The sequence below is a fragment of the Homo sapiens genome, chromosome 9 (assembly GCF_000001405.40).
Source record: "Homo sapiens chromosome 9, GRCh38.p14 Primary Assembly".
Classification (NCBI taxonomy): Eukaryota; Metazoa; Chordata; class Mammalia; order Primates; family Hominidae; genus Homo; species Homo sapiens.
In genome coordinates this window covers 87282372-87299354 of record NC_000009.12, presented here as the reverse complement: position 1 = coordinate 87299354, position 16983 = coordinate 87282372, and the positions used below count along the sequence as shown (strand labels likewise).

Sequence of the window (16983 nt, the reverse complement as noted above, 5' to 3'; positions counted from 1 at the left end):
ATTAAAAATTTTAAAAAAGAAGGAGAAGCATAACCCTCCCATAGCCTCTTTTTTTTTTTTTGAGGTGATTTTTCCCTCTTGTTGCCCAGGCTGGTGTGCCATGGTGTGATCTCGGCTCACTGCAACCTCCACCTCCCGGGTTCAAGTGATTCTTGTGCTTCAGCTTCCCAAGTAGCTGGGATTACAGGTGTCCACCACCATGCCTGGCTAATTTTTTTGTATTTTTAGTAGAGACAGGGTTTCACCATGTTGGCCAGGCTGGTCTCGAACTCCTGACCTCAGGTGATCCACCCAGCTTGGCCACCCAAAGTGCTGGGATTACAGGCGTAAGCCACTGCGCCGACCTCCCCATAGGCTCTTTTTGTGCAGCATAGGGTGTGCCTTGCTTTCTGATCATTTGAATAGCAAGTGTGAATTTTAATGCTTGTATGCTGAGCCCCTAGGCATGGGGCCACAGCCAGTTGCCTAAGACACTCATGAAGCTATGCCTATGTTCCCACCTGGCCCAGGCTCCTGGCTACCTGTTGGGATGCTGAGAACCTGTGGGGAAGTTTCCATTTCATTTTCACTTGGATCCCAAACCTACATTGTCGCAATGGAGCAAAAAGTTAATACAACGTTGAATGCCTCCACTAATTGTCTACCTTCTATGATGAGAGCTGTGCAAGGCATCAAGGCTTTAGTTTCTGTGTAAGTTGAATTCAGCTGACCAGACTAGATATAGAGAAGTAAATGACCTTACTTGGATTCCTCCATGACCTCCCACAGCAATGATCATCAATAAGGTAGTTATAAATGTATTAGACTGGAATAGGTGAATGGGATTGTACCATTTATCTTTTGTGGTCAAAATGTGAAAAATGTCTCCCCTAAGCTGTTCCATTTACTCCCAAATCTCAGCAAATAAGCAACTGTCAAAGTGCAGACGACCAGAGACTGGGTAATTGCAGGCGACTGACTGACCAGTGTGGTGATCAAAGTCTCACTCCTAAATTCTGGATAATTTTAGGAACTCTTAGGCCTCCTTAGGGGAAGTGGGTACTAAGAAATTCTGAATTACCTGGGCTTTAGGGAATTTCCTAGAACCGTGGCCAACAGTAAGATGGTGCTACCCTGATCTGTGCATTCAGGACACTGATTCATCTTCACCATTCTAGACCCGGAGATTGGTCTACTTGCTTTACTGCACAGATCCTGACCCCCTCTGCCCTAAATTCCCCTATCTGGATTAGTTTTGAAAGCTCTAGGGTTAGTCTAGTCTTTCTGGGGAATGTTGAGGGCTGTTGTGCCTCACAGTGGCAATGTGGTTTAATCAGCTAAATTAAACCAAGCTAACAACTGTTTCCTGAGCACCCATTATGAGCAAGGCTATATGCACATCTCTCACTCTTGTCAGAGACAAGTACAGAAAAAAGTGGAAAGAAATGGGGACACATCCTTGGAAAGGGTTGAATTGTCAGTATTAGAGTTTTTACTTATTTAGCACATGATTTATTTAGCACCTACTATGTGTCAAGGACTTTCAATTGTGATTGCATTGAACAACACTGCCAGGTGAGTGGTACTCTGTCTCTCTATACAACTGGATTTCAGACAGGTGAGGTGTCTTGCCTGCATTCACATGGCTAATATGTGGCAGAATTGGAATGTAAGGAGATCTAACTCCAAAATGGACTATAGTATATTATAATGATTCTCAACCTCCATCAGACTCTGTCTAGGAAATAAACTGTGAAGCTACACCTGAAACCACCAAACCCATCTCAAACTCAATGATCTTTTACATTTTACCTCTATTTTTGTTGTTGTTGTAGCTTTTCTGGGGTTGTGCTGGTTATACCAACCTTATCTCAGCTACCTGAAGGATTGTCGTGCTGGAGAAGACGTGTGGAGACCCACCTGACCAAAGCTCAACTTCATGAACATAAGAGCTGGAGGAACTGCCTCTCAGACTGTCCAGCTTGCTCAGAAAAGTGGCCTTCCTTTGGCTGGGAGATGGGTAACCATTTTTTCTCTTTATTGCTAAAAAGGCCCATCAGGCTGGGATCTGCCTTCTTGAGCTGTGAATTACAATGGCAGGTTCAAAAGGCCTTCAGCCAACTTGAGTTTTGCAGTCAAATTAGATCCAATTAGAAGTCAGCCTGTAGAATGTGAGCCATTACTAAATTTTTAAAAATGAGCTTTGCCACTTTCTGGACTGTGGCTGTAGAAATATCTGGAGTTTTAATGATCTTCTCTGTCTATTAAAGGATCTGATAGACATGAAGTTTTATAAGGTAAGGACCCAAAATGGATCAGGTTTTTAATGCCAGAATTCCATTAGGCCTGCAATAAATGATAGAGTCAATCTATTTAGCAGACATATTTTTTAGGTGGTGAAACTAAGTAAAGTAATAAGACCTTTTAAATTTAATGTTTATTCCAGAGGCTGATGATTCAAAAGAAAATCTTTCTTAGTATGATGGTAATTTGTTTTTCTGCTGTATTTTTCTTCAGAGACCTGGTTACTTTTCTCTCTTCCCTGAGGGCAATAGTGCACTTTTTGCTCTTATATTATGTTGCTTTATGGGAAATAGGTGGGAAGCCCTTGCTGGCACTTTTTCTAGACTGAATTCTCTTTAATTCTGTTACCAGGGCCTGGGGGATGAAGCGAATCCCTCAGACAGCCCTTCACATCTGGTTCAGCCCTATCTGCTTAGTAATGGTCCCACCCTCTCTCATTAAAAGCATTTGATTTGTCCTGAGTATATTATTAGCAATCATAGGACTTGGTTCAAGATTGGATTGAGATAAGGGGTTGAACATATAGTTCTACCATCCTTCTAGTCCTTGAAGTGATTTTTAAAAGGTTGCTAAGAAAGACTAAGTCCTTTGATACAAGATTCCTTCACCAGGGAGCAGAAATGTTGATATACTCTTGCAACAGAAAAGAGTATAGGGTTTGGTTTTCTACAGGGTAGAGAATGTGGGGCACTGTGTGTCCCTGTAATCCCAGCCACTGGGGAGGCTGCGGTGGGAGGATCGCTTGAGCCCAGAAGTTTGAATCCAGCTTGGGTAACACAGCAAGACCTTGTCTTTAAGAAAAAAAAATTACATGTAATTTAAAAAATAAAAATAGGGACGGGCGAGGTGGCTCACGCCTGTAATCCCAGTACTTTGGGAGGCCGAGGCGGGCGCATCACGAGGTCAGGAGATCGAGACCATCCTGGCTAACACAGTGAAACCCCGTCTCTACTAAAAATACAAAAAAATTAGCCGGGCATGGTGGTGGGCACATGTAGTCCCAGCTACTCGGGAGGCTGAGGCAGGAGAATGGCATGAGTGTGGGAGATGGAGCTTGCAGTGAGCAGAGATCGCGCCACTGCACTCCAGCCTGAGCAACAGAGTGAGACTCCGTCTCAAAAAAAAAAAAAAAAAAAAAAAAGAAAGTTAGGGCCAAAGGGCACTCAGGAGACTGTCACTGCACAGGTAATCACCAGTCCAGTGACACTCCAAGCTCATCCATGTTTAGCTGCTTGGGTGCAGGTGAAGACTTAGTATAGTTGAGTTTAACCAGGATTGGATTTGTCAAGTGACTCTGACTTGAGATAAGACACAGGAGAGACGCATGGGGCAGCAGAGATGAAAGAGTGTGCATAGGCTGATGAGAATGACGGGCTCTGGGGTCTAGTCTGCAAAGGAAGAGAAGTGACAAAAGAAAGTGTTCAATCATCTGGAGGTCCCTGGGGGGATGAGGAGCTGTTGAAGATTGATGCTAAGGAAGGAGGAGACAGAGACAGAGGGTGAGAGCCTCAAATGGGAGATGCTGAAGGTGGTGCAGCTACGAGTCATGATGAGGTTCGGGGTGTGACCAGGGGAGCTGCTATTTGTACAGCACGAAGGAAGTTATCATTGTTAAGTTGGAGGACCAGGAACACTGTCCTCCTGGACAAAACAAAAAGCACAGATCAAACAGCCACAAAAACCTGTCGCCACCACCACTAAGACACAGTCATATGTGGTTTCATAGAAATGCTCCAAAAACAAAGCAATCCAAGAATATTAGAGATAAAAAGAACAGGCAAATTCTGGCCGAAAGAAAAATTAACCTAATGGTATCAATAGCTGATAAAAATAATGTCTGAGGAAAAAGCATTAGATGAGAAAAATAGTTTTTTTTTTTCTTTTGAGACAGAGTTTTGTTCTCATTGCCCAGGTTGGAGTGCAATGGTGTGATCTCAGCTCACTGCAATCTTTGCCTCCCGGTTTCAGGTGATTCTCCAGCCCCAGCCTCCTGAGTAGCTGGGATTACAGACGCCCCCCAACCACGTCCAGCTAATTTTTGTATTTTTAGGAGAGACAGGGTTTTACCATGTTTTCCAGGCAGATCTCGAACTCCCGACCTCAGGTGATCCACCTGCCTCAGCCTCCGAAAGTGCGGGGATTACAGGCGTGAGCCATCGCGCCCAAAGAAAAACAGTTATTTCTGTTTGATGAAATTGACAGTCCACAAAGAAGATGGAATTATCAAGAATCTTTATGTTCTTAATAATGGAGATTTGAGATATACAGACAGTCAAAATATTAGAGAAACAAATGAATTTGCAACCACAGTGGCAAACATTAGTAAATCAGAGACGGTCATGGTCACGATTCATAAACAGCAGTTTTAAGTGCATCTATTTAGGCAGAGACATTATGCATGCATATTTAACTTGCTCTTATTTTAGAATCTATACCCATTTATAAAAAGCAGCTACTGAATATGCATATTGTGAAAACAGCTAACAAAACTAAAGTCCCATCCACTATTAGAAGACAGTTCAACGTTTATTAATAGGTTGTTGGTTATTTCTATTACACCAAAGCTTAAGTCTTAAAATCTAAAAGCGAAGGAATAAAATCTGCTCCAGTAATTTAAAAGGATTTTGCATCCAACTTTGATTCAATTCCTGTTCATGTATAAGACACAAGCCTTAAGAGTCATTAAATTCCCATTTTAGCTGGTTGCCAGCTGTAAGTTAATATGCAGACTTTGTTGGCTTATCCTGCTCTATGCTACGCACAGTGCTTTGAGTGCTCTGTTTTCCTTGCCTTGGATTGCCATTCCATACCAGGATTCTCATTTCCTCTGCTCCTGAGTTTTGACTGGCATAATTTTGGAACTTAAAAAAATATGCATCTTCTGTTGTTTTTTCTCATAGCCTTCATTTACATTTTTGTCTATTTTGGATTTTTTTTCTGAAATGTTTTCAATGTACTTTATTTTCTGTTTTTATAAGCTTTATATAACTTCAGAAAAACATAATCCAAGACATATCTTGGTTAGAATAATAACCAAGAGGTTATTATTCATGTATTTATTTATTTACTGTAACATGGAACACAGTGACCTGCAGAGTAGACACTGGGTGTGGCTGTGTGTAGAACTGTCTTTAGAGGATATTAACTAGAGGTGACATTCCAGGGCTTTGCACCTTGGTGACTTGGTTAGGCAGGTGGCAGGATGCAGATGCAGAAAATTAACATGTATGTGCCACCTACCCTTTTACATCCAAGGCAAAAAGGATGAAATAGTTTATTCTCTCCTTCCATTAGCCCCCATTTCCTTGTTTTTTAAATTAATAGTACTTTATTACATTCAATACAATGTATAAATCTTTAAGTGTTCAGCACAATGAATTTTGACATTAAATATAAACTATATATAATATATAAAAATATATATAAAATATATATAATATATTAAAATATATTAAATATAAAACACTTCCAGGCCTGGCACGGCGGCTCACGCCTATAGTCCCAGCACTTTGGGAGGCCAAGGCGAGTGGATCACTTGAGGTTGGGAGTTTGAGACCAGCCTGACCAACATGGAGAAACCCCATCTCTACTAAAAATACAAAATTAGCTGGGCATGGTGGCACATGCCTGTAATCCCAGTTACTGGGGGACTGAGGCAGGAGAATCACTTGAACCCGGGAGGCGGAGGTTGCTGTGAGCCAAGATCACTCCATTGCACTCCAACCCGGGCATGAAGAGTGAGACTCTGTGTCAAAACAAAAACAAACAAAACAACACTTCCATCATTCTAGCAAGTTAACTCATGCTTCTTTCCAGTCAAGTGCTGTTATACAACTGACTCCAAGTAACCACTGACCTGCTTTCAATCCCTATAGATTAGTTCTCTATGTTCAAGGACTTAATATAAATGGAATAATATTAATACATATATATTCTTTAGTTTATCCTTTATTCATTCAGCATTTTTTTGAAATTTATCTATTTTATTATGTATATCAATAGTCTCTCATTTTTTTTGCTCAGTACTATTCCATTGTATGGATATACCACAGTTTGTCTATCCATTTTCCTATTGATGGATACCTGGGCTGCTTCGAATTTTTGCTTATTGTGAGTAAAGCTGTTATGTATGTACAGGTGTTTTGTGAACATAGTACATTCATTTCTCTTGGTATATAGTCTAGGTGTGTGATTGCTAGGCCATAGAGTAGATGAATATTCCCATTTATCAGAGAGTGGCAATGGGTTTACAAAATGATTGTACAATTTTCAGCATCCAGCAGCAATGTGTGAGAGTTCTAGTTTCTCCACAGCCTTGCCAACACTCAGTAGAGTTGGTTTTCATTTTTAGCCATTCTGGTAAGTGTGGAGAGGTATCTCATTGTGGTTCTGCTTTGCATTTTTGTGGTGACTAATGATGTTGAGCACTCTTTCTTATGTTTATTGACCATTTTAGTATCTTTTTTTGGTGCGTAGTGGTATCTCACTGCTGTTTTGCTTTGCATTTTTATGGTGACTAATGATATTGAGTACTCTTTCATATGCTTATTGACCATTTGAATATCTTTTTTTGTAAAGTGTCTATTCAAATCTTTAACAATTTTGGGGGGTTATTTGTGTTTTTGATATTTCACTTCCCTTTGAAGAGTTAATTAATATGCTTTAATCTAGAGCCAACTGCATGCCTGGTATTTCAAATTTGGTATCTTACTTAATAAATACAACAAACGGTTGAAGTCAGTGTATCACTTCCATTTTACAGAATAGGAAACCAAGGTTCAACTGATTGAAAACCACCCTCGAAGTTGAAACTTTCTAACTGGAAGCATTGGGACTCTGGTATTCATTTTCACCAGTTTTGCCTGAGAATAAGGTGGAAGGAAGATATTACGGGAGAATATTCACTATCCTTGAAATCGATCTTGACTTTTTAAAAATAGTTTTTAAAAAATATAATTTTAATTTATATTTATATATTTACAGAAAAGTTGCTAATATGGTACAGAGTTTCTATGTATCCGTTGATTGTATTTATTTATTTAAATGGCTATATTGAGATATAATTCATTTACTTTACAATTCATTCATTTGCAATGTAGAATTCAATGATTTTTAGTATATTCACATATATGTGATGTGCAACCATCACTACCATCCATTTTAGAACATTTTCATCACCCTTTAATTATCACCTCTCCACACCCCCATAACTCCTCTCAGCCTAAGCAACCACTCATCTACTTCTGTCTCTGTAGATTAACCTGTTCTGGGTATTGCATATGAATTGAATCATATAATATGTTCTCTTTTGTAACTGGCTTCTTTCGGTCCTGGCTTTTTTCAACACTTGTGGCATAAGACTGCTTGTAGTCATCAAGATTCTTGTCCTGCTCTTCCTGGACACTCTGTTGACCACATTTCCAGTCCTTGTAGTTAGGTGTGGCACACGTGTCTGAGTTCGGGTGAATGCAGAGGTGATGTGAGTGTTGTTTCTAGGCCGGGTGCTTTGAAAATCAATCTGAATGAAACATCCTAACGCCCATCCTCACTTTCTTTTCTCTTACTTGGGTCCCTAAATGAAAGCAAAACTTTCTCTTGACCTCTATTGGACAAATGTTTATTATGTTAAATTAGCCTCTGAGATTTAGAAGTTGTCTATTACACAAACTAGTCTTATTTACCTTTCCTCCTAAAACATCTCTAAAAGCCCATATTGTGGAATACTTCTAATGTATCAAGAACTCTGATTGTGCATTGTCTTTTTTTATTAAGGTGTCTTAGGTTGTCCACTCATCCAAGACCAGAAATGAGGAAACTTGATTCCTTTAAGATAGTGCTCTTGGCCGGGCGTAGTGGCGGGCGCCTGTAGTCCCAGCTACTTGGGAGGCTGAGGCAGGAGAATAGCGTGAACCCGGGAGGCGGAGCTTGCAGTGAGCCGAGATCCCGCCACTGCACTCCAGCCTGGGCGACAGAGCGAGACTCCGTCTCAAAAAAAAAAAAAAAAAAAAAAAAAAGATAGTGCTCTTGGATAATCAGCACACATTTTTGTTACTTCCAAGCAGTCTTAAAAATAGATTTTGTTCCTAAGCTTATACATCATATTTAGCTGAAAAGAGTCAGAGAGAACATTCTTAAGGAATAAGTCACATATATCTGAGACATTTATCAACATCCTTATAACAAATTCTTCAAGCTTAAGACTGATTTCACCATCTTTGCTCCATAATCTCCCTGCACATTGGAGGCTCCGTAGGAAACGCAAGGAACAGAGCTATGTACATTGCAGGGCATTTTGTGAATTATAAAAATCTGCTCAGTTCTAAAGATCAAAACTTCTACCCATCTGGGATGTATAAATCCTATACAGAGAATTTATGAGGGGGTTATCTTGAATTATGTGTTGGGTGTTGGGCTTGGCACATAATAAATATAAATGATCCTCACAGGACAGTAGATTAACATCCAGGGGAAAAAAGTCAGGCATCTGTGGAATTTAAGTGGGAAGATGCCCTACTCTTCTCAGACAGGAAAGAGCTTTCAACTCCCAGGAGATAGAACTCTGATCCTTGTTTTTAAGTCCCTTGCTAACTCCTGCACATGGGAGAAGAAGTGATTTATCTGCTCAGTGATTTGGAAAAGGAACTGTGTAAGTTCGGTTTGCCCCCTAGATCTTCTCATTTTCAAATCTTTCTGCCCACAAAAGGGTGCATCTCCTTTGTACCGTGCTGTTAGCTGGCAATACTGTAGGAGGCCTGTGGGTGGCCAGGTGCACCAGGGGCCAAGGAATGAGTCTGTCCAGCTCTGAAGGCTATTAGGAAGCCAACTGAGAGTAGACATCTAAGCCATGCCCTCCAGAACAACTTTGATTAGTAATAAAGTTCACACAAGTAGATTGAAACTCCTTGAAAAGGAGGAAAAACTTGCATAAAAGTTAAAATCTGCTGAAGATGGCATATAAGTAAGTGTTGTATGATGTGGGAAAGAATGCAATTATATCAGAAGTTCAGAGAAGTGAGATGCTGCTACAGACCGGAATATTCCTGAGGATCAAGCATGGCCCTGCAGACCATAGTACTCAGATGTGTTTAAGTTTATATACATGGAGACAAAAATGTTTCAGTTTTCCAGAAGTTATTTCTGGTCCCTCCACTTTTTTTCCCTTCTGGTTGTGATTTCTACGTGGCATATAGGAAATGATATAGTTAAATGCACAAAGAAAATCTAAGAATTTTGCCTGGATTCATAATTCTGTGTTCACAAATAATGATCTGTACTTTTGAAATTTCCATAGTACCTCAATGTCAAGGATGTGTCATCGACAGCAGCAATATAAGAGTTGACATGGGCTGTGCGCAGTGGCTCATGCCTGTAATCCCAGTACCTTGGGAGGCCGAGGCGGGTGGATCACTGAGGTCAGGAGTTCGAGACCAGCCTGGCCTACATGATGAAATCCCGTCTCTACTAAAAATACAAAAATTAGCTGGGTGTGGTCGTGCACACCTGCAGTCCTAGCTACTCAGGAGGCTGAGGCAGGAGAACCGCTTGAACCCCAGAGGGGGAGGTTGCAGTTAGCTGAGACTGTGCCACTGCACTCCAGCCTGGACAACAGAGAGGGACCTTGTCTCAAAAAAAAAAAAAAAAGAATGGACATGATCTTTAGTCTTTCTTGTCTTTACAGTCTTCACTATATGGTTTTTCACTATATGTTTCTCATCCAACAGTTCTTGCTCTGTAATGCATCATTCTTTAGAAAAGCAAGTAAGTCAACACTTTGTAAGACATCTTCATGAATCAAAAAAAGAAAGAACACATGCTGGAATAAAGCAAATAGTGAAAGTGGGCATTGCTGTGAAGCTTGGGCATGTGAACACAATAGATGGGATTGTGAAAGCTCTTTCTTCTTCAGATGGATGTTATCCTTCAGTTTGGCTCACCAAAATCTAAGTGACTTTATGGGTGTGCTCCACCACTCTTGGTTCTAATTTCCTTCCATCACCCAAGTGTTGGCAAACAACTGCTCAGCCAATCATAGTGACCTTAATATACTTTAAAGAAGCACATGGAGCCATGAGTGGTAGCGCATACCTGTAGTCCCAGCTACTTGGTAGGCTGAGGTGGGAGGATTGCTTGAGCCCAGGAGTTCGAGGCTATGGTGAGCTGTAATAGTGCCACTGCACCTCAGCCTGGGTGACAGAGCAAGGTACGTCCAAAAAAAAAAAAAAAAAAAAAAGCAGCACATTGAAGTAACCTAAAGTTACAACTTCGCTGTAGTGTTTCCCAGAACAATTCCCCAATATGTGTAATTAGTGTCACAACTGGGATAGGGGCAGCTTCACTAGAGGCAGAAGTGAGCCTTGTGCTGGAAGTCTTTGGTGTCAGGCTCTGTCCTTCTGATAACCATCCTGCATGTGTAGCCCCTCTTTCTCCTCCTCTTTGTGCTCTCAGCAGGCACTGAGTTGAAGCAACTTTAAGGCTGATTCCAATGTTGCTCAGAGAGCTCAGATTCTTGCCAATCACACAGGTGTTGAGTTTTTTGAGACCCTCTTACCCTGGGCAGGGTCCATTCCATCAGCTTCCTGAGATGGGCTTGCAGGAGGAGAAGGGGAAATCTTTGGTTTTCCTTAGTGTGGTAGCATCTTCCTTTAGATAAGGGTGCTTTGCTTATAGCCATAAGATCAGGCACACATGCCTTTAGGTTTATTGGAGAATATGGAATAAAATTTTAAACCTCAGAGATCAACAGTTTAGAGGCGTTGAAGCCAAAGGTATTTAATGGCTCATCAATATTCTTTAAACAAAATCTTAGATTGGGTCTTTCTATATTGCTCAGGCTGGTCTCTAACTCCTGAGCTCAAGTGATCCTTGCACCTCAGCCTCCTGAGTAGCTGAGACCATAGGTGTGCACCATTGTACCTGGCTATAGTATTCTCAGTAAAATCATACTTCAATTTTATTTAGATTGATTTAAAAAATAACCTAGATAACTTTTATCCATGCTGCCACTGGCCTGCACCTTAACCTGGATAACTTTCGTGATACGGCTTTGTTGTATTCCACAGAAACAAAGATTCACCTTCTACACATCATGCAATCTCTCCAAGTGTCTAGTTTCATGGAACTAATGACAATCTTTAAAGGACAGATATTTAAATAATATCTAAGGCATTTGTGTCAGACCTGGTAGTTGCTTATCTAATATTTTATTTTATTTTTTTTTTACTAACAGAATCATATTTGTTGGGTTGCCAATTAACCTACTACGTATATCTACATTTCCTAGTTCCTCTTCTGAGTAGAGGCGGTCATGTGATATAGTTTCAGCCAGGGATGTCAACAGAAATAACTGAGTGGGGCTTCTGGGAAAGGAATTCTAAAGGGGATTATCTCAACTGGCATGCAGTCTTTTGCCCTTGGCCTTCTATCTTCCTATTGCCTGCAATGGCCATTGTAATTGTTGGTTCTTCAGCAACCATCTGGGGACCATGAAGACAGCATAAGTTTGAAAACTGCGAGCTAAGGATAGGAGCCTGCATCCTGATGACATTGTAGAAATTCCACGCCAGTCATCAATGTCTCATCTCCAGACTTCTTTTAAGCCACTGTTATTTGTGTTTTCTGTTATGTGGTGTCAAAACTCCATTCATAACTGGTAAAATACTCAATTTTCAGATTGCTTTGCTTACAGGTAAAACAAAAATCGAGTGTCTGGCATGAAAACATTTGTTTTGAACAAAATAGTTTTGGCAAAATTCTAACTTTAAACATTGAGGAGGGGCATACCTATTTATTTATAAATCCTATATAGCATCAAGAAAGCCTAGAAGAAACATCCTTTTGTTTGGCTTAGTTGTCATTACATGCAGGTGAAAACTGATGTTAGTAGAACTTTCTCTGGGGGTGGTGATAGTGGTGTAATTTAGTGAAAAGAATAGGGGTTTTGAAATCTGGCATATTTGAGTTTTAATGTAAATCTAAACTCATTATTGTATCTTTCTAAGCCTCAGTTTTCTGATCCATAAAATAAGGAAGGTCTCAAGTTAAAAAGGGAGAATCTGCAAAATACCATACCAAAGGGAACCAGTGAATTACCTGGTACTATATATGATCATTTCCTTGTATTTGTGTCTTGTTTCTTATTCTTTCATCTAATAAATATAGATTAAGTATCTACTATATGCCAGGACTGTTTTGGGTGTTCATTTCTTTGACTCTGAGTTTGCCCTGAATGGAGTTATGGCTTTAGGGCTGAGTATTGAAGGGACTAATGCCATATTTATTTAGTTCATTGGCAGTAACCAGGGAGGAGTGAATTTCAGAGCTTCATCACAAGGTTCCACTTAAGAAACCAAATTGCAGTCTTAGTGGCATAGTGGTTTGGTGATTTTCATCCAATACCAGATGTAAGGGCTGGAGATGAGTCTGGCTGACACAGTCACTGTTTAGAAGCTGGAGTGAAACCTTGGAATTTCATCTGGAAAAAGTTGTACTTCTCCAGGAAACAGAGTGGGTTTTGGTACACAGAGACCCTAAAAACTGAAATGAAATGGGGCTCACTTCCTTGTGACTCTAGCCCCCATCATATGTCCCGCAGATGTGAGACCAAGTACTTGAAAATATTTGAAGTCAATGGATTATTTACAACAGGAAAGCACAGATTTTACCCAAGCCAGACCTTAAGAATTTCAGTCCATCTTTCCCAGTTACCTCTCCATGAAGTCGGTCAGTTGGGCTTTCAAATGGGCAGCAATTTAAGACTGTTCGTGAATCATGACATGAAACAAACATTTAGAAGATAGGCTTTGGGTAGGGAGAGGTGGAAAAGTACAGATACTTTACCTTGTCAAGAATTAAATTGTTATTCATTTTCCTTCTTTTATTCATCAGGACATTGGGCTCAAGGGACTTGCAATTGTAAAGAGTAATTATGATGGTAGCTCATATTTGCTGAACATTTTTAAGTGCCAGGACTTTCTCTGGTTTATTATTATCATGAACGACTGCCATTTAGGAAGACAAAACTTGACTTCAGCCTGTGCTTCCTTGGAAAGCAGTGCTCTGTAGTGGAAAGGATAAGTCATTGGCATCAATGAGACACGAATCTGAGCCCTCACTGTATGGCTTTGAGCACATTATTAAACATCTGTCAACCACAGTAAACGGTACTCTATTGTTCTCTCCATTTTTCATATGAGTAAACTGAGTCTGGAAAGAGTTGAGCCACATGCCCAAGGTCCATAGAAGAGCTGGGGCGGGGTGAAGGGAGTCCAGTACCTGGTTCTTTCCTACACACTGTTATCAGGTAGATGTTAGGGACCTTGTGGGTCATGGAGGGACAGGAAACATGCCCCCTTTTACACATGAGGAAATGAGAGCCCAGAGGGGTTGAACTGGCCATTCCAGTTACTACAGGAATCAGAACTGCAGCTCAGGTATTCCCCTCCAGAGAGGGCATGAGAGGGGTGTACATGGAAGAAAACTAACAGCTCACCAATATTTCATCTTCCATTTTTCATTTCCTGGCTCTGGAACATAAGTCAGGATAAGATCTGGATTAGATCCATTTTACCAGTTTCCCATATATCACATTTCGACAAGATTTATGGATGTTTTCTCCTGGGCTGGAGCAAACACGGGTGGATTATGAGGTTGTGTTTACATTTTTCTGCTATCTCAGGCAGCATTATGTTAGTCTCCAGCTCCTGGCTCTGTGCCACCTGGATAAGCTTTTGCCATTTGATTCTTTCCATTGTGCACACACTTGTCCCTTCACCTTCTCTGTAATCTCTGCACTTTCCTTTGTTATCAGTTACACGTTTTATGCCAGAATGGCTATGGTGTCATTCTCCTGCTTTTGTTTTCTGGTGAGTATGGAGAGATTCTCTTCTAAATAGCTTTGCGTACTGGGGGATTGACATTTGTGATCTTATCTCTCCCTGGATAAAAATACTCCTTCCTGTAGTCTCTCAATTCAGAGCTCATAGTCAGTCTTTTCTCTCCTAATAGCAAATGCTTTGAGTTTTTTAGAAGTTTGCAGAACACTTCCTTTAGATCCTCTATAATGCAGAAAATATTTTTTGCTCAGAGCCCCAGAATCATGTTTTGTGGAATTTTCTTTTTAAAAATAGAGGCCAGGCACAGTGGCTCACGCCTGTAATCCCAGCACTTTGGGAGGCCGAGGCGGGTGGATCATGAGATCAAGAGATTGAGACCATCCTGGCCAACATGGTGAAACCCGTCTCTACTAAAAATACAAAAATTAGCTGGGCGTGGTGGCACGTGCCTGTAGACCCAGCTACTTGGGAGGCTGAGGTAGGAGAATTGCTTGAACCCAGGAGGCGGAGGTTGCAGTGAGCCGAGATCATGCCATTACACTCCAGCCTGGTGACAGAGCAAAACTCTGTCTCCAAAAAAAAAAAAAAAAAAAAAAACAAGAGCCAGTGCCTTGGCTCTTGGCTTTTGTGTTGTTTCCTCTTAGGCCCTAAATGGTAACCAGACACAGACTCACATTCCATGGTCCTCAATGACGCCCTCTCCATTTCTCTTTTCCTCTTGAGGTTCATTATTTTCTCCAAATTAAAACGTTCTGGTTGGAATGAGTGAGAAGAAAGAGACAGGGCAGCAGGGAGCTCCAGTTGTGCAGAGGGATTATATCTAGGGGGGTCTTCCTTGCCGGTCTCTGATATGATTAATCGGCCGAAAAGAGCGAGGCTTTGTAGTTTGAGGAGATCGATTTTGAAAGGGTCTGCTCTTGTTACCCAGGACAGTAGGTTTTAAAAACAATTTTTAAGAATATTTTACAGACATTTCAGAGCTTCTGGCTTTATCCCTATGTGAAGCTGCTAGTAGTTCATTTGTTTGTGCATTCATTTGTTCTGCAAATATTGATTGCGTGTTACTGTGCATCAGGTACTGTGTTGGGCCCTGAGAACACTGGGGTAAGCAAAACAGACTGGCCCCTGCTCTCTCAGATCTCACAACAAAGTGAGGGTGACAGATATTAGGCAAATAATCACATGAATAAGTGACCATCTGCACACTGATAGAAAGAGAAGAGGGTCTCCAGGGTGTGCATGCTGTGTGCATGTCAGAGCAGGCTTTCTTCTGAGGAAGAGACTCCTGAGCTAAGATATGAAGAGTGAGAGTCTGTTGGGTGATGGTTGGGAGGAGGTTTTGGATGTGCTTTTGGTGGAGCAGGTCCCTGTTCCTGATAGAGGGAATGCTGTGCGCAGAGGCCACATGAAGGGATTAGCATGGTGCATGGGAAGAAATACACCTGGGCCAGAGAGGCTGGGTTTCTGAGTGTGAGAAGGTGAGTGGAACCACAGGGATCAGCGGGGTAGCCAGAGCCCAGCGATAGGCTTGGATGAAAGATTTAGTCTTTATCTTTAGGGCCACTGTTGGTTCTACACTGGGAAATGATACGATTAAGTTTGCATTTTAAAAAGATCACTCCAGTTTCAGTGAAGAGAACAGATTTTCAAAAGGCCAGAGTAGATTCATTCAATCATTCATTCACTCATGTATTCAAGAAACATTTACTGGGCTCCAACCATGGGGCAGGGACTTTTCTCTCTACAGTGGTGAGGGAGTTCCCGGCCTCCCAAAACTCATATCTAGTGAGTCAGGACAGATAGTAAACAAATACATAGTTTAAGAGAAAAGATAACTTTGATAGAGGTAAGTGAGTGCAGTGAAAAAAAAATCAACCAACAGGAATCCGACAGACAGCACGGAGGCACTATGGTCTATGATCTCTAGTTCTATTGGGTTTTCAGGAAATGCCTTCCTGAGGAGGTGAGAGTTTCCTCCCTAGACGCAGCATTACCCCCTCCCCCTCTTTTTTTGAGCCTTGCCTGAAGCAGAGCTGGCCACTTTATTAGCCCTTTACTTGCTAGTCCTCAGATGTGCTGACTGTGTACACGAACACTTCAATCCCCCCGATTTTCCATGGCCTTTATGGAAGTCAGAGTATTTGAGCTTGAAGGAGCTTTTAGGATTTTCTGATTCAACTCCATCATTTTATAGGACACTAAGCAGAAGGCCAGAGAGGTACTGTTCAAAGAGTGAGCGGTCACCCTGTCCTAGCATCCAGGCCATCTTGTCCTGGGGCCCAAGCCTCCTGGCTCACCATTCAGCACTCCTGGTAAGTGTGAGGCCACAGCTGTGCTCTCTGAGTCCATGGAGGCTGTTTCCAAGGTACTCTTCATCCCTGGGTGCATAGGGGACTCCAGATACCTGCAGAAAGTGATTAATGGTCCTTTCTTCCACCCTGGCATCTCCTAATGCAAAAATGTTGGACAGCAACCAATTTAATTTAGAATCCAGAAAATACCACTTTTTTTCCAACCTGGCTTATATTAATGGTATTTTAAAAATGCCCTGCAGCTCTGAAGCATATTTAAGACCATGAAAGAGCATTACGAAGCTTTTGCCCTTTACAGAGTTGCATGGAATGCTAAGTCCAGAAAGAAAAAAAGGGAAATTCTCTCTTTCCCTTTGGTTTCTTAAGATTTAAAACTCAATAAGCCATTTCTTATTTAAGATTTTGTAAAAATAACTATTTTTTCCCTGTAATTGAGTCTTGTTGCATGAGTTTTAATCTAGAACGTTGTTTTCATGGTTGAGTTGAAAATCCCTTTGGAAATCATGGTGAAACCCAAACTGAAATAGTGCTTATTGAACTAATAATTAAAGTTTCTT

At 41.1% G+C, this 16983-nt stretch overlaps 1 long non-coding RNA gene across 7 annotated transcripts in view; it reads left to right on the top strand.

Moving 5' to 3' along the window:
• The first annotated feature begins 345 nt into the window (after positions 1-345).
• The window catches only part of LOC105376126 (uncharacterized), a 103060-nt gene continuing 86422 nt past the window's right edge, over positions 346-16983 (top strand). For all 7 annotated transcript variants that reach the window (XR_007061642.1, XR_001746813.2, XR_001746814.2 and 4 more), the window contains exons 1-2: positions 346-1999; positions 16309-16426. This is a non-coding gene — a long non-coding RNA (uncharacterized LOC105376126). The remainder of the gene's footprint in view (positions 2000-16308; positions 16427-16983) is intronic.